General features: G+C 51.4%; 1 protein-coding gene across 2 annotated transcripts in view, besides 2 other annotated features; it reads left to right on the top strand.

The window, feature by feature from the left end:
• CNGB1 (cyclic nucleotide gated channel subunit beta 1) overlaps positions 1-17,645 on the top strand; it is an 88,789-nt gene that overhangs the window by 54,910 nt on the left and 16,234 nt on the right. For both annotated transcript variants that reach the window (NM_001286130.2, NM_001297.5), the window contains exons 22-29: positions 40-90; positions 884-970; positions 3,225-3,289; positions 4,344-4,466; positions 11,344-11,485; positions 12,238-12,397; positions 14,594-14,691; positions 14,784-14,867. In NM_001286130.2, coding sequence (NP_001273059.1) covers positions 40-90; positions 884-970; positions 3,225-3,289; positions 4,344-4,466; positions 11,344-11,485; positions 12,238-12,397; positions 14,594-14,691; positions 14,784-14,867 — 810 coding nt within the window. The remainder of the gene's footprint in view (positions 1-39; positions 91-883; positions 971-3,224; positions 3,290-4,343; positions 4,467-11,343; positions 11,486-12,237; positions 12,398-14,593; positions 14,692-14,783; positions 14,868-17,645) is intronic.
• Positions 4,115-4,821: an enhancer, noted in NCBI's record as "H3K27ac-H3K4me1 hESC enhancer chr16:57945302-57946008 (GRCh37/hg19 assembly coordinates)". NCBI's record gives its function as "activates a minimal SCP1, AML or CMV promoter by ChIP-STARR-seq in primed H9 embryonic stem cells {active_cell/tissue: H9 hESC(primed)}" and the evidence as "EXISTENCE:reporter gene assay evidence [ECO:0000049][PMID:30033119]".
• Positions 9,527-9,736: a silencer, noted in NCBI's record as "silent region_7538". NCBI's record gives its function as "represses an Ori minimal core promoter by ATAC-STARR-seq in GM12878 lymphoblastoid cells {active_cell/tissue: GM12878}" and the evidence as "EXISTENCE:reporter gene assay evidence [ECO:0000049][PMID:35858748]".

The raw sequence follows: 17,645 nt of genomic DNA, 5'->3' as shown, positions 1-17,645 counted from the left end.
TGTAAGGTCATTTCACCATCATCATTCCCTTTCTTTCAGACGGACAAAAAGGACATGCGAAATAACTACCTGAAGTCTCGCCGCTTCAAGGTGTGTGCCGGGCATGCAAGGTTTAGCGTCTGCGGGGTTTCAGAAGGGGGTGCCTCAGAGGGCCCTGGGTGCCTGGGGCGTTCATGAGATGTGGTTTCTGCCACACGGAGGGATGCTGGTCCCTGTGGGAGTGTCCTCCAAACCACAAGCCCCAGGAGACCAGCACAGGCTGGGTAGCCCCCAGAAGTTATCTTTCTTCTTTTTCTTTTCTTTTCTTTTTTTTTTTTTTTTGAGACAGGGTCTAACTCTGTCTCCCAGGCTGGAGTTCAGTGGTGTGATCTCGGCTCACTGCAACCTCTGCCTCCTCGTTCAAGCACTCCTCCTGCCTCAGCCTCCCTAGTAGCTGGGATTACAAGTGTGCGTCACCACACCCAGCTAATTTTTGTATTTTTAGAAGAGACAGGGTTTCACCATGTTGGGCAGTCTGGTCTCGAACTCCTGACATCAAGTGATCTGCCTGCCTTGGCCTCCCAAACTGCTGGGATTACAGGCATAAGCCACCGTGCCTGGCCAGAAGCCACCTTTCATTGTGTCTGTACCACTCCCGCCCCTTACTGTATGGCACAGCAGCCACTATCGAGGATAATGAAGCTGCCCTTGGGGCTGGCAACACGGGCTTTGAAGCCAAACAAGGGCTTGTCGGTGGGACACCTTCTGCCCTCTAGTTTTAAGCTCTACTGGGGCATTCTGACCTCACCTTTCCATGGAAGGGAGAGACTCCGCCTCTCACTCCCCTCACCTTCCACCCTGGAGTCATCCGTTTTACCCCCATGGTGTCCCACTGGGATTTCAGATGGACCTGCTCAGCCTCCTGCCCTTGGATTTTCTCTATTTGAAAGTCGGTGTGAACCCCCTCCTCCGCCTGCCCCGCTGTTTAAAGGTAGGACTGCTGGGCCCACCACCCCAGGCCTTCAGCTCATCCCTGCTCTGCACCGACACTGGCATCTTCGTGTCTGCCCCCAGCAGCACTGGGGAGGGGAGTTCCTCAAGGGATGGCCCGAGGGGAGATGCATTTATTCCACGTGTGTCTTAGTGGAAAGTTCATTACAATTTGCTAGTGCTTCTGTGGTGCTGCATGTTAGGTAGTATTATTGCCAGCATTTTACAAATGAAGGACTGGGGCACAGAGAGGTTAATTAATTTGCCCAAAGTCACACAGCCAGGAGGGAGTGGAGCCCAGATATGAATGCAGGTCATCTGTCTCCACTGTTTACGCTCTCAGTGATTATAGAGACTCTCAAGAGGGGATCTTCTGCTTTATGATGGTCTCTGTCTAAAAGATGGGGACATTGGTGCTTGGAGAGGCTGGGGGACTTGCCCTAGGTCGCAGGAGCAAGGAAGTGCCAGGGATGGATTTGAATGCACAGCCAGACACCCGTTTCATCACTGGCCAGGCCTCAGTGTCATTCCAGCCATTCCTTCTGGCACTCACTGGGCAGAGCGAAAGTCTCCAGGATGGTCTGGCTGCCACAGCTGGCCATGGTCCTGTCACGTGATCAGGGTGGATAGCCACTCAGAGCATTCAGGATCCCCCAAATGGATTTTGATGGCCAACCAATCACATTCATCTGTCTCCTGAAATGAAGACTGGTGCCTTTTTCTGAAAACAGTACTGAGGGAATTTACAAAAAATGCAAATGCAATAACATGAACAACCCAGAGAAACAGGGCAGAGAAAACTAGGGGGCGTGCAAGTGCCCTGATGAGAAGAAAGCACACCTATGTGGAATCGAGCATGGAAGCTGCCTCTGAGCTTCCTGGCTGCCAAGAGGAAGGGGGAAAGTGGAATTGGCACCATTCTTATTTGACACATACCAGCCTCCCAGGGGCTGCAGAGGTTGCTTTAGAGCCAAACATCAGAGTGAGGAAGGTTGGGTCCACAGGCCAAGTTTCACCCCAGACGCAGAGGTGAGATCCATACCTTGGGTCACATGGTGGCCCCAGTGAGGGGGCAAAACTCACAGGCCTAACATTGAACACCATTCAGTGGACAAAACTCTTTAAGTGAGCCATCCAAGCCCCTGTTCTTTCTGCCTCCAGTTTAAACTGTGGCTGGAACTAGAATGAACACATGGATGATAACTGGAATATCCCTTAGAGAATCTTCATAAATACTATTTTCAAATATCAAAAAATAAATCCAAAGATCTAGAGGTGGTATAGCATAAGGAGAGAGCTTGCAGCTCTGAGTCTGGCCTGGGTTGGAATGCTGACTCTCTCACATACCAGCTGTGTGCTTTGGACAAGTTACTGGACTTCCCTGAGCACCAATTTCTGTCAAAGGAGAATGATAATACATACTTCATATGTAAATAAGGAATAAGGTAATGTATATAAATGTATGTGCTGGCTGGGTGTGGCGGCTCATGCTTGTAATACCAGCACTTTAAGAGGCTGAGGCAGGAGGATCACTTGAGCCTAGAAATGTGAGACCAACCTGGGTAACACAGTGAGACTCTGTCTCTACAAAAAATTTAAAAATTACCCATGAGTGTTGATGTGTGCCTGTAGTCCCAGCTACTTAGGAGGCTGAGGCTGAAAAATCGCTTGAGCCCAGAAGTTCGAGGCTGTGGTTATCTATGACTGTACCACTGCACTCCAGCCTGAGTGACAGAGTGAGACTCTGTCTCTGAAAAAACAAAACAAAAAAAGGCATATGCCAGTCATATAATAGGTGCTCAATAAAGAAAAGTAGTTATTAATATACTTTTATTCTTATAAATAAACCTTTGAAGGATATAAGAGTGGGGTGTTAGGGATGCTGTCTCTTTATTAAATTGTTTTCTTTATAAGAAACATTAAAAACAGCAGCTTTAACCTGGATGCATGTACCCCTAAAAGTCTCATGATAGAATTCAGAGGGTCCAGGAGTCCCCTGAAATTATATGCAAATTGTGAGAACAAGATTACATGTCATTTCCAAGGGAAGACGGGCTATGACTTTCTTCAGATTCCTAAATGGAGTTTCTGGCCCCTACCCGTCAAGGGGCTGAGGACTTCTGATATTGAATGCTCACCGTCCTGTTCCCTCCTGGGGGCTGCAGGAAGAGCCCTGAGTCTCGGCGCCCGTGGGCGTGGGAGCAGCATGCTACCTATGGCCGGTGGGCTGCTCTCACGCCCTCCTCTCCCTCCAGTACATGGCCTTCTTCGAGTTTAACAGCCGCCTGGAATCCATCCTCAGCAAAGCCTACGTGTACAGGTGAGACTCCCCCTGCATGTGCATGCATGCACACACACATGACACTCACAAACACACAACACACGCAATACACACACAACACAGATGACACACACACAACACACACACGACACACACAACACACACACAACATACACACATACATGCACACACAACATTCAACATACACACACCCAACACACAATGCACACACACAACACACAACACATACATACGTGCACAACACACACACAACAGAGATATAACACAAAACAACACACACAAACACACACAACACACAACACATGCAGTGCACACACAACACACAATGCACACACGACACAAATGACACACACAACACACACACACACACACACAACACAGGAAGTTTGCACCTAGAACAGACAGCAAGACATTGTCTACCCCCACTGACCTCCAGGCCCCGTCTCCACTGGAAGCCAGGCATCTTCCTGGTCCCGCCTCCTCTTTCCCAGAGAAATGTTTGTTATTTAGAGAACCAGGAATATCCGATGCCCCTCATTGTGATGAGGGTGCACATCAGCTGGCACGAGGGGCTTACCAGCATTGCAGCGAACCGGGCCTCATTTTGGCCTCAGCTCAGGGAACTGGAGCCCCCAGCCAGCTCTAACAGAATGGGAACAGGTGTAAGGTGGCGGTGGCTGTTTCACAGATGTCTGAGCATGAGGTGCAAGACCAGCCAGGCCGTGCTAGGGAGCAAGGCTCCTGTCCACATCTCTCCTGGGGCGACATGGCCCCATCTTCAACTCAACTCCTCTGCACACATCAGTCCCTCCCTGCTCCTCCACACACACACACACATTTCCCCTCTGGCCCCTCCATCCCCCAGTGCACAGTCAGCTCTGCTACCTCTGTTCCAATCCTAGCCCCAGGTCATGACAACGCCCCATTCAAGCACCACCCTTCCTAACTGGTGCAATCTCAACAAAGCATCCAGTCGGGCCAGCCCAGCCATGGGTTGGCTCTCACTGTCCAGGTGTCTATACCTCACCTCCCCCTTCCGCCGCTGTGTTCATGCGCTGTGTTCCTTCTGCAGGGTCATCAGGACCACAGCCTACCTTCTCTACAGCCTGCATTTGAATTCCTGTCTTTATTACTGGGCATCGGCCTATCAGGGCCTCGGCTCCACTCACTGGGTTTACGATGGCGTGGGAAACAGGTGAGCCACAGTCCTCCCCCTGGGGCCATGCCTGGGTGACCTTCCTGTTCTTTATAATTCGCAGCACAGAGACTCCAGGAAGGAGTCTTATTGCTGCTGTATTGCCAAGGCCACTTTGCTCCTAAGCAATCACTGGCATGACAAGGCTCAAGAGCCACATCTTGGGCCGGGTGTGGTGGCTCACACCTTTAACCCCAGCACTTTGGGAGGCCAAGGCAGGCGGATCACCTGATATCAGGAGTTAGAGACCAGCCTGGCCAACATGGTAAAACCCCATCTCTACTAAAAATACAAAACTTAGCTGGGCGTGGTGATGCACACCTGTAATCCCAGCTACTGGGAAGGCTGAGGCAGGAGAATCTCTTGAACCCAGGAGGCGGAGGTTGCAATGAGCCGAGATCGTGCCATTGCATTCCAGCCTGACACAAGAGCGAAACTCCATCTCAAAAAATAAAAATAGAAAAAGAGCCAGGTCACTACATCTTCCCCAAGCTAAGGTTTCCTGAGCACCTGCATGTGCCAGGCCGGAGGTACTGGTGTGAACAAGACTTGCTTGGATCCTTTCTGCATCCAAACTCTATTAGGGTGTGCAAATACGCTGTATTTGTGCATCTACTCCTGCTTCCCCGGGCATGGCCAAGAGGGAATGAGGCCAGAGAATACTCCCCAGCACAGCTCCCCAGGCACTGCTACCATGGAGGTGCTGGCGAATGAGGTGAGACCCACTTGCCAATCAGAGAGCCACCATCCATTATGAGACTTGCCAAAGGGATGATGATGACGTGCGAACCAAAAAGAATCTGGCACAAGTTTCAATCAATTTAGAAAGTTTATTTTGCCAAAGTTAAGGACACGCCCGTGGTACAGCCTCAGGGGTTCCTGATGACATGTGTGCAAGGTGGTTGGGGTGCAGCTTGCTTTTATACATTTTAGCGGGACAGGATACATCAATCAATACATGTAAGGTTTATATTGGTTAGATCTGGAAGGGTGGGACAACTCAAAGGGAGGAGTGGCTTCCAGGTCATAGGTAGATTTAAAAAAATCTCTGCTTGGGAAAAAAAAAAAAAAAAAAAAAAGGCCGGGCTTGGTGGCTCACGCCTGTAATCCCAACACTTTGGGAGGCTGAGGCGGGCAGATCACTTGAGGTCAGGAGTTCGAGACCAGCCTGGCCGACACAGCGAAATCCCATCTGTAATAAAAATACAAAAATTAGCCAGGCATGGTGGCAGCGCCTGTAGTCTCAGTTACTCGGGAGGCTGAGGCACAAGAATCACTTGAACCCGGGAGGTGGAGGTTGTGGTGAGATGAAATTGCACCATTACACTCCAGCCTGGGTGATAGAGCAAGACTCTGTCTCAAAATAATAATAACAATAATAAATAAAAATTCCCTGCTTGGCAATTGGTTGAAAGAGTTATCAGTAGAAAGAAATGTCTGGGTTATGATAAGGGGCTGTGGTGACCTAGGTATTTTCATGCAGATGAAGCCTCTAAATAGCGGGCTTTAGAGAAAAGAGACTGTGATGTTTCTTACCAGACTTAAGGTCTGTGTTGATGTTAACGCTGGAGGGGTACAATGAGGCGTGTCCGACCCCCTCTTCCTTCATGGCCTGAATTAGGTTTTCAGGTAACTCGGGAAAGCCCTTGGCCAAGAGGAGGGGTCCGTTCCGATGGTTGGGGGCCTTATAATTTATTTTTGGTTTACAATGGTGGTGATGGTGACAATGATGATGATAATAGCAGCAATGCTTGTAGGATACCTATTTTGTGCCAGCCCTGCTTAAAGCACTGAACACAGTAATTCACAACCATCACATCAGATAGTACCGCCCCATTCCCATTTTACAGCTGAGGTAGCAGATGGGAGTTCCCAAGGTTACACGGTTCATGAGTTACAGAGCTGGGATTTGAACCCAGGTGTCATGGCCACAGAGTCCTAACTGCCTCGATGAAAAGGAAAAGTGCCAACCTGGTGGCCAGAGGGAGTGGGGGAGGTGGGCATGAGCACTGTTGATTCCACCAAAAGTCACCAAAAGTTACTAACATTTAAAAAAACTTTTTTAGCCAGATACAGTGACTCATGCCTGTAATCTCAGCACTTTGGGAGGCCAAGGTGGGCAGATCACATGAGGCCAAGAGTTTGAGACCAGCCTAGTCGACATGGCGAAACCACATCTCTACTAAAAATACAAAAATTAGCCAGGCGTGGTGATGCACGCCTGTAATCCCAGCTACTTGGGAGGCTGAAGCAGGAGAAGTATCGCTGGAACCCGGAAGGGGGAGGTTGCAGTGAGCCAAAATTGCGCCACTGTACTCCAGCCTGGGCAACAGAGAGCAGGAAAAAAAAGTTTAGAAAATTATTTTAATGAACAGACTTAATTTATTTAAAAGTGGTTTGAAGTTTATAGAGAGGTCCACTGGAAAGTAGAGAGAGTTCCCATATATATGCCACCTCCATTATTATTATTGTTACTATTTTTTGAGACAGGGACTTACTCTCTGTTGCTCAGACTGGAGTACAGCAGCATGATCTCAGCTCATTGCAACCTACACCTCATGGGCTCAAGTGATCCCCCCACCTCAGTCTCCCGAGTAGCTGGGACCACAGGCACACGCCACTGCACCTAGCTAATTTTGTATTTTTTGGATATATGGAGTTTTGCCGTGTGGCCCAGGCTGGTCTCGGCTTCCTGAGCTCAAGCTATCTGCCTGTGATTGGCCTCCCAAAGTGCTAGAGTTACAGGTGTGCACCTCATTTTAAGGCTGGATGGTGTTGAAGGCGACACTCGCTCCCCTGCCCTGTCAAAAGCCTTAAGCAGGAGAGTGAGCAGAGGGAGGGCTCAGCCCTCGTGCTGATGGAAGAGTGCACTGGGGGTGAGGGCAGGCAGCAGACAGCCAGCAAGGGGCCCTGCTGTGTCAGAGAGAGCAGCAAACCCTCCAGGCCAACCGGTGGCTTGACCTAGGGGAGGGAGGGCAGTGTGGGCAGGAGGGATGCGCACAGGATGGGGGCTGGGCCTGCAGAGTCAGAGCGGAGGCTTGAGGGACGAGGGATGAGGAGTCCCCAAGTGTGACTCCTAGAGCTGCCCCCTGGCAGCGGAGACAGGCCACTTCTCTTTTCTGGGCCTCAGTTCCCTCACCTGCAAAATGGGGCTGCAAATGGGACTCCCACCCTAAAGAAGTGACAGGAGTAGATGCCTCTGAGCCCCTGCCTCAGTGCCTGGGCACAGTGGGCGCTCAGTCAGCCATAGTGAGGATGAGAAGGTGGAAGAAGGAAAGGTCCAGCGGGGAGTTACTCACCGAAGGGTGCCCGCCTCACCCTGGGCTGTGCCCACTAGTGACACAAAATGCCCGTGGTCCAGCTGTCTACCCCCAGGCCCTTGCTCCCAGTGGGAACAGGTGGGATGCTTGCGTCCAAGGTGGCGGCTTTGTAGAGTGGTTAATTGTTCAGAACGTCCCCTCCCAGTATAGATGCCCCAACCTCAGCCATCATGGCTATGGCCGTCGCCTTCTGCCATGAGCCCTGCCCCGAGGGGGAGCCACGCCTTTACAGAGATGTCCCAGGCTGGTTTTGGTGGCTCATATCTGTAATCCCGGCACTTTTGGAGGCTGAGGCAGGCAGACTGCTTGAGCTCACAAGTTCGAGACCAGCCTAGGCAATATGGGGAGACCCCCTCTCTACAAAAAAAATACAAAACTTAGTTGGGCATGGTGGTACACGCTCGTAATTCCAGCTACTCAAGAGGCTGAGATGGGAAGATCGCTGGAACCCAGGAGGTGGAGGTTGCAGTGAGCCCAGATCGCTGCACTCCAGCCTGGGTGACAGAGTGAGACCTTGTCTCGAAAGAGATGTGCCAGAGGCCAGGGCAGCCCAGGCAGGCAGGAGAGGAGTCCCTGAGAGCCACTGTGAGGTGGAGAATATCAGGGATGGGGTCAAGATCTAATGCTTCCCCACGTCACCAGTGGCCCTTTTACCCATTCCCATTCACAGCCCTGCTCCTGAGCCCTGGCTAAACCATGCATTCATTCACTTCCTTATTCATCTAACCCATCACAAGGAGGCAGAGGGGGACTTGAAGCCCCTTTCTATGCAAAGGGGAGAATGCAATTTCTGCATGGAATTGAACTCTGTGAGCTTACCCTTTCTGAGACCCAGTGTTCCCACAGGCACAATGTGGGTAACTTACATCCAGATTTCTTATGAGAAATAATAAATTAATATGTGTAGCATGTCTAGCCTGGGCCTGAACAGGAGTCAGTGGCCCCTGTGCCTAGCTATGGCTATTGTTAGGGGGAAGCCAGCATGGCAGGAAAGGAGTTAATAACCTGGGGTATAGAGATTTTAGGGGGTCACAAACCCCCCAGACATTGGAGCTAAAATTTGAGCATATGTTGGCTTTTCTAGGGAAAGAGAGCTGGCTTTCTCTAGATTCTCAAAGGGGCTTGTGCCCCAGTAAACTAAGAACTCTCCTCCCTGGGGCTAAGCCTGGCACATCCGTCACTGGGCAGCTCAGGGAAGGGAGAGTAAGCAGAGCAGGGCAGGGGTGGGGCAGGGGGACAGCTATCTGGGACCTCCTTCTGCAGGGCCCTCTGCGGGAGGAGCTCGAGCTGCCCAGCAGTGGGAAGGGCACGCTTCCTTGGCAGCAATACTCCTTCCCAAATGTCGTCCTGCAGGGAACCCCAACATGTGAACCGAGTACGAGTAATGAAGGAGGATTCTTAAGAAATTCCAATAGCATGAAGAATAACAACTTTTACAAAGCGAACATTTGTGGAGTGCTTGCTGTGTGCCAGGGGCTCAGGGTCCCGAGCTCCTACAAATGCTAGGCCCTGCATCCCGCCCCAGTGCTCTCCTGCCCCAGTTCTGCCCATCCTGAAGCACAGATGGTCCCCACAGACAAGGACAAGGAGACTTCAGGGAGGCCCCTAAGATGTGGCATGTCATTGGAAGATTCCTCCAGCTAGGAAGGGTTTGGGGTAAAGCCAGAGCTTTGTGGACATCGCGCCTATGTCCTCTCTCTGTTGGTGGCCCAGCGGCATAAGCACCCAGCTCCCGGACAGCCGAGGGGTCTGCAGAGTTGGGGGTGCTGCTCCGTCCCGCTAAACGCTGCTTCGCGTGCCCTCTGATGGCCAGAACCAGTATGACGGGGGCTTGACAGGCCCGTTTTGGGTTCTGAAACTTGCAGGCAACAGGTGATGTGGAGGTGCAGGGCGGCCCACAGCCCTGCCCAAGGCCCCGCAGCTATCAGAGGCAGAGCCCCTACCACACTCCCCAGCAACCTCTGCTTCCTCCTTCCTGCACGCATTGCACGTCACCTGCCTGTCCCCTCACTGGACCACGAGCTTCTTGAGGATATGGGCGAATCTGTTCAGTTCCCCAGGGCAGGCAACAGTGGCTGTGAAGGCTTTGACAGCTCCCTTGCTGAGAGTCCACCACGTGCCAGGCTTCTTCTAGCACCTCATTTTGTCTTCATGGTCTTCTGTAAGGGACATTCTATTGCCATCCCCATCTTATGGAGAAGGAAACTGAGGCTTGGAGAGAGAGAGAGAGAGATTTGTCCAAGTTATGCAGCCAGAAGGTGGCTGAGCCGAATGGCTGAGCCCAGCCAGCCTGGTCCAGAGCCCATGTTCTATCTAGGACACTGCATAAATAGCTGCTGCAGGAAAGCCGGCAGGGACTGCCCAGTGTCTAGGCCCTTCTGACCTCACCTTTGCTGACCCAGGGGAGGGCTCAGCCTGAGGTGTGGACAGGTGTCAGAGGGACCCTTGCTGCTCTGTGATAATCACACACAAGCTTGGTGTCTTCATGCCTTTTGAGCTGCTGTAGTAAAATACATGAGACTGGGTAACTTATAAAGAACAGAAACTTATTTTTCACTGTGCTGGAAGCTGGGAAGTCCAAGATCAAGGTGCTGGCATCTGGTGAGGGCTGCTCTCTGCTTCCAAGACAATGTCTTGAAGGCCACAGTGTCCACTAGAGGAGAGGAATGCTGTCCTCGTATGGAAGAAGGCAGAAGGGCCAAAGGAAGTGGAAACCCTCCACCAGAACCTTTTGTAACAGCTTTAATCTATTCATGAGGGCAAAGCCCTCGCAGCCTAAACGGCGCCCGAAGGCCCTAGCTCCTGACACCATTGCACTGGGAATTAAGTTTCCAATGCCTGAATTTCGGGGGACACATTCAGACTGGAGCACTTGGGGCATTTCCTATGCCTTTTACCACACAGTAGGACACCCTCCCCCATACCTCCCTTCCAGAAGGTTCACAAGCCGACGTCAGAGGGTTACTGCTGGTGGATGACATCTTAGAGAAGCAGACAGCGCCCAGCTCTTGTACTTACCAACTAGTGACCACGGGTGTGCCCTTTCCCTTTGGGGGCCTCAGTTTCACTCTCTGGAAAATGGATGGGCCGGGTAGGGGCGGGTCAGAAAAAGTCATCCTCAAGATATCGTCCAAACTTGATGTTGCTTTTGCTTTTCATAAGCCAATATGGCAGGAGATAGCAAATGAAAAGACTGAAAATTGAAGGAACACTGAAGGAAATTGAGGGAGTGCGGTCATTAGGAGTTGGAAGACCCTGGTCTGGCCTCCTGCCAACTCTTCCTGGAAATCCCCTGGAGCCTCAGTTTCCATATCTGTAAATGGGGATGGCAACATGTCCCTAGAGACACAACCATACCCGATAGCATTTGTGAACCTGCTCTGCAAACGGCAACGTGCTCTACACGTGCAGGAGGTGGTTTTCCTTGCATAGATGAGCTGTAAAGGGTTTCTGTCTTTTGCACAACATGCATCTATCAGAGGCGTCTGAGCCAGACTGCTCGGGGCGGCAGAGTGGGGCCTGTGATGACCCATGTTCCCTTTCTCCTCTCTCTCCAGTTATATTCGCTGTTACTACTTTGCTGTGAAGACCCTCATCACCATCGGGGGGCTGCCTGACCCCAAGACACTCTTTGAAATTGTCTTCCAGCTGCTGAATTATTTCACGGGCGTCTTTGCTTTCTCTGTGATGATCGGACAGGTATCGGGGCACCAGCCCAGCTTCCCACCCCACCTGACTGCAGGGCCCCCTCCCACTGTTGCCAGAAATGTCACCCTCTGTGCCCGTTGCTTTTGGATTAAGCCTGGGAAAGGGCACTAGACTGAGAGTCAGGAGCCTGGAGCACTGGTCCCTGCGCGGTGAAGGGGGTGGTGGTGAACTCGGCCCTATTCCCTCTCTGAGGTCATTATCATTTGAAATGTCAGTTCCTCCGGGTGCACTGGGCTGAATGGTTTTCTGCAGAGACCGAGGGAGAAGCCCCTGGTGTTTCTGGTGTGCCAGGGCAGCATCTTACATTCTGGTCGAGACATGAGGTGACAGTCAGAGGTTCTCAAATTTATATTTGAAGGGCCCCGCCCCGAGGAACAGCACACTGGCTTCCTATTTCCTCCAGCATGGAGTCAGACAACATGGCCGCCGTCACCGAGGAACTGTATTGTACCAGAATCAGCCCAGCCCAAGGAGCTTTCCCCCATGGTGTGGTCCCAGGGACCTGAGGCCACCAAGGGGCTGGCAGTCTCCCTCCCTTCCTCTTCCCCACATCCATGCTGGAGGCAGAACTTCCCGTCAGTAAAACTTTCTCTGTGTGAGGACATCTGCCTACCCCCCTCCCAACGCCCTGCCAGGAGCACATGCCCGTGGTCTGTGTGAAGTGACACATCCCAAATCCATGGAATAGCGCCCACCCCCAATGACCCAGTGGCTTCCTTGACCTCCCATAACCCTTCCCCCAGATGAGAGATGTGGTAGGGGCCGCCACCGCCGGACAGACCTACTACCGCAGCTGCATGGACAGCACGGTGAAGTACATGAATTTCTACAAGATCCCCAAGTCCGTGCAGAACCGCGTCAAGACCTGGTACGAGTACACCTGGCACTCGCAAGGCATGCTGGGTAAGATGGTCACGCCCTGGCAGCCACCAGCTCCCAGTCAACTCCTGTCGCCTGGTGCCCGGTGCCATGCCTTCGGGGCGCCTCCCTCGTCCTCTGTGTCTCTGAGGTCCCGAGTACTGGGGCCTGTCTTGGCTGTGTCCCCAACATTGGTGTGAGAGGTGCCCAGTGGGGCCCCTGAAGTGCCTCTAGCAGGGCTGTCATGAGATCCCTGGAGACGGGGGGCTTGTCTTCTGTGTGCCTGCCCCCCTCACTTTACCCACCTTGAAATGCATCCCCATCCAAGAGCGAAGTGTAGTTTGTTTGTGTGTTTGTTTATTTATTTATTTATTTGACATGGAGTCTCGTTCTGTCACCCAGGCTGGAGTGCAGTGGAGCAATCTTGGCTCACTGCAACCTCCATCTCCCGGGTTCAAGCGATTCTCCTACCTCAGCCTCCCAAATAGCTGGGATTACAGGCATGTGCCACCATGCCTGGCTCATTTTTATATTATTAGTAGAGACGAGGTTTCACCATGTTGGCCAGGCTGGTCTCGGACTCCTGACCTCAGGTGATTAGCCAGCCTCGGGCTCCCAAAGTGCTGGGATTACAGGTGTGAGGCCGAAGTGCAGTTTAAATTGAAAAAAAAAAAAAAAAAAGGAAGAAGGACTTTCTGTCCCTTCCTCCCTCCCTTCCTCTCTCTCCCTCCTTCCCTCTCTCTCTCCTCTCTCCTCGCTTTCTCTCAGGGCATTGCACACCCCATGATGGGTGCAGCAGGCTTAGCCCTGGATCTCCTGGGGCAGCTCTAGAGCTCCACAGCCAGGTTGGGGTCCTGAGTTTATCCCTCGAGCTACAAGACTACGGGCATGTCACTGCCATTTGCTCATCTATAAAGTCGATATTATAGTAGGGCACCTCTTGGGTTGCTTAGGGGATTTAGTAAAATAGTTTTGCCTGTAATCCCAGCACTTTGGGAGGCTGAGGCGGGAGGATCACTTGAGCCCAGGAGTTCAAGACCAGCCTGGCCAACATGGTGAAACCCCATCTCTACAAAAAGTCAAAAAATTTAGCTGGGCATGTTGGTGCGTCCCTGTGAGTCCCAGCTACTCAGGAGGCTGAGGCTGGAGGATCGCTTGAGCCTGAGGAAGTTGAGGCTGCAGTGAGTTGTGATTGTGCCACTGCACTGCACTCTAGCCTGAGTGACAGAACAAGACCCTGTCTCAGAAAAGTAAAAATAAGTACCTGTGCGGTGGCTCATGCCTGTAATCCCAGCACTTTGGGAGGCTGAGGCAGGTGGATTGCTTGAGCCCAGGAGTTTTCAGACCAACTTGGGCAACATAGTGAGACCTTGTCTCTAAAAGAAAAAAATTTTTTTTAGCTTTTCAGGGTTCAAAGTATTTTAAAAATTTTATTTTAATAAAAACTAAAACTAAGATAATCTTTATAAAACATTCTATTAAAAAGTGCCTGGCTTGGCTGGGTGCGGTGGCTCACTCCTGTAATCCCAGCACTTTGGGAGGCTCAGGTGGGTGGATCAAATGAGGTCAGGAGTTTGAGACCAGCCTGGCCAACATGGTGAAACCCCGTTTCTACTAAAAATACAAAAAATTAGCCCGCGTGGTGGTGGGCACCTGTAGTCCCAGCAACTCGGGAAGCTGAGGCAGGAGGATCACTTGTACTAGGGAGGTGGAGGTTGCAGTGAACCAAAATCATGCCACTGCACTCCAGCCTGGGTGACAGAGCGAGACTGTCTAAAACAACAACAACAACAACAACAAAAACATAAATAACAACAACAAAAAAAACAGGTGCCTGGCTCATAGAAGTGCTCCAGAGACTTTAGTTCTTGCTGATGTTGTCCTTCCAGGGAAGTGGGAACACAGGTGACCAATAATTGCAACAGCGCAGGGGCTACTAACATAGTAGCTGAGTGGAGGATGTCAAGGGAAGGCAGGGAAGGCTTCCTGGAGGAGGTGATATTAGTGCTGGGTTCTGAAGAATGAGTAGGAGTTTGGGAAATGCACAGGGGTGCTCCTGGCAGAGGAAACGGTATTGGCAAATGCCTGGAGGTGAGAGAGGGTGCACTACAAATCCAGAGTGGTTCCATGCGGCAGGGCAATGGTGTGCCCTGGTGAGCCAGTAGGTGGGCACTTGGCCGGTATGTATGTCTGGGGTGGGGCCCGGCCTTGCCTCTGACCCTTGCCAGGCCTTGTTCACAGATGAGTCAGAGCTGATGGTGCAGCTTCCAGACAAGATGCGGCTGGACCTCGCCATCGACGTGAACTACAACATCGTTAGCAAAGTCGCACTCTTTCAGGTACACCTTTTGGTGCCCTCACGCTCAGGGCTGTGGGAGGCTCCAAGCCCAATCTTCTCTAAAAAGTTCCTTTCCCTTCCTCACCGGGACAGGGCTGTGACCGGCAGATGATCTTTGACATGCTGAAGAGGCTTCGCTCTGTTGTCTACCTGCCCAACGACTATGTGTGCAAGAAGGTGAGCTGGCCTGGCAGCCACCACGGGATCTGGGGTTCACCATCCCCCTGGCTTTCAAGGAACTGAGCTGGAGGGGTGCCTGCCAGCCCAGGGCAGAGCGAGATTGTTGGGGAGGGAGAAGAGCGTCTGCGGCTTCATGCTGCAGTGACCTGACCAGACCCAAGAGCAGGAGCGGATTAGGAGGCTTTGCCGACTCTATGCAGTCAACACACATGTGCCTCGGGCTTTGCAAAGCATTTTCTCAGCTCCATTGACACAGGACCATGGGGGCCAGGACAAAGACCCCCCCCCCAACTCCACCTTACAGAAAGGGAAACTGTGGAGCCTGAAGAGAGGCAGGGCCTTGACTGTGTAGCTGGAACTGCTTCTGGGGTCTCCATCTTCCCATCAGGAAAATGGGGCAGGAGAAGGGATGGGCTTAGGTCAGAGGTTGCAAACTGGTGGCCTTTGGATAAGATCCAGCACACAGGTATTCTGTGGGTTTTTTTTTTTCTAATTTTTAAAAAATGTTGAATTGGTCCCCAACCTTTAAAAATTTGGAGATTTTGTATAAAAATTCAGATTTCTGGCTGAAAACAGAAAATCTGCCAGCGCTGGGTCCACTTTCCCAAATGGCAAGAGGCAGCTGGGGTGGAGGAAAGGTTGCCCCAAAGGGGGACATCGTGTCCCTTCCTGATGCCACAGCCCCCACCACTCCCCACTGCCCCACCCTAGAACCCCCTCCCTGCTCAGCTTCACCCTCTGATCCCAGAAAACATCTGGAGTTGAATCCTGGGGCCTGACAATGTCTAGAGCCCTTTCTGCTCCCTGTCCTTGGGGTTCAAGGTGAGACCAAGGTCACTTGGTGAGTGACGGGAGGGGTCAGGAACCCAGGTTTCAGTCCTCTTGCACAGAGCCGTTAATAAGTTAATAATAAACCGTTAATAAGCATACGGGGGGAAACATTACCCAAGCAGGCTCTGCAAGACTTGGGAACCCCCGTCCCCAAGAAAGTCCCTGTCTCCAGGTTATATGCTGTGCAGCAGTGAAATTTCTGGAAGCAGAGAGCCGGGGTGAAGAGGGGAAAAGTATGCTTCAGAGACCTGAGAATTTAAAGCTGCAACCTTAGGGGCAAAGAGGGGTTTGGGAGCAATAGAGTGGCCTGCCTGACACTGGAGCCCCTTCCTGGCTGTGCAGCCTTGGGCAAGTGGCTTGCCCTCTCTGAGTCCTGCTCATCTTATGGATAAAGTGGGGGATGTTGATAGTACCTCCCTCATGGGGTGGTTGTGAGGGCTGAATAAGATGTGCATACAGAGCTTAACATTGTTCCTGGCACACAGCAGCTGCCAGTACTGTTGCTGTTGTCTTCGTGGGTGATGCAGAGTTTGCTTTAAATGAGAAAAAGTGAATCTAGAGTCTGTGATTGCAAATTAAATTGAGCACTTGGTGAGCACGTGTGAAGGGCGCCCTCTGCTGTCTGGTTTTGCTCGGCAGCGATCTCTCTGAGACACCCCGGGGACTGGTTACTGAGGTGAGGGTCCCTTCACCCTTTCACTCTTGTCAAACTAAACAGAAACATGGAGGCAAACCTCTCTACCTTTTTGTTAAGGGGGTCATGCATGTGTGAAATGCACAGGAAATTTTTGTCAAATAAGTCAAAAGTGTGACAGTTACTGTCCTTGGTCACTCCCCCCACCCCTTATTTATTTATTTGTTTGTTTGTTTGTTTATTTGAGACCAAGTCCCACTCTCTCTCCCAGGGTGGAGTGCAGTGGCACTATCTCGGCTCACTGCAACCTCCGCCTCCTGGGTTCAAGCATTTCACCTACCTCAGCCTCCCAAGTAGCTGGGATTACAGGCATATGCCACCATGCCCGGCTCATTTTTTTATTTTTAGTCAAGACAGGGTTTTGCCATGTTGGCTAGGCTGGTCTCGAACTCCTGACCTCAGGTGATGTGCCCGCCTTGGCCTCCCAAAGTACTGGGATTACAGGCATGAGCCACTGCACCCGGCCCCCTTTTTAATTATTATTATTATTATTTTTTTTTTCTGTAGACCTCCTCTTCCCCTTTTAAACACATGTGACTCACAGGTAGCTGGCCAGGACAAGGGCCGGTGAAGGCATGAGGATTGGAAGGCGCATGGCAGACTAGGTGTTTCTAATTGCAGTCCAAAGCAAGCTATTCATTCATGCATGCATTCGGTTTAACTTGGGATTAAGGCCATTGTATTCATTCTCCAGGCTGCCGCGGGACACTGTGCAACTCCACCACAAGCTGGGTGGCTTCTCTCCTCAGCTTGTAGGTGGTCATCTAGTTTTTTTTGTGTCTCCTCACATCCTCTGGTCTCTATGCCTGTCTTTGTGTCCACATTTCCCTTTTGTTAGGACACCAGTCATATTGGATTAGGTCTAGAAGGACCTCATCTTTAGGAATTACATCTGCAATGACCCTATTCCCAAATAAGGTCACATTCTGAGATGCTGGGGATGAGGATTTCAATATATGAATTTGGGAGGGAGTACATAATTCAACCCATAACAACCATGAACTCTGGAACCAGACTGTCTGGGTTCAGATCCCAGCTCTTGGGCAAAGAGTGATCTCGACTCTGAGGGTTGTTGAGGATAAGTAGTACACTGCATAAAGCAATTTGGGGCTGGGCACAGTGGCTCATGCCTGTAATCCCAGCACTTTGGGAGGCTAAGGCAGGCAGATCACTTGAGGCCAGGAGTTCGAGACCAGCCTGGCCAACGTGGCAAAACCCTGTCTCTACTAAAAATACAAAAATTTGCCGGG

Source organism: Homo sapiens, chromosome 16, assembly GCF_000001405.40.
Source record: "Homo sapiens chromosome 16, GRCh38.p14 Primary Assembly".
Lineage (NCBI taxonomy): Eukaryota > Metazoa > Chordata > Mammalia > Primates > Hominidae > Homo > Homo sapiens.
This window is presented reverse-complemented; position numbering and strand designations above follow the sequence as displayed.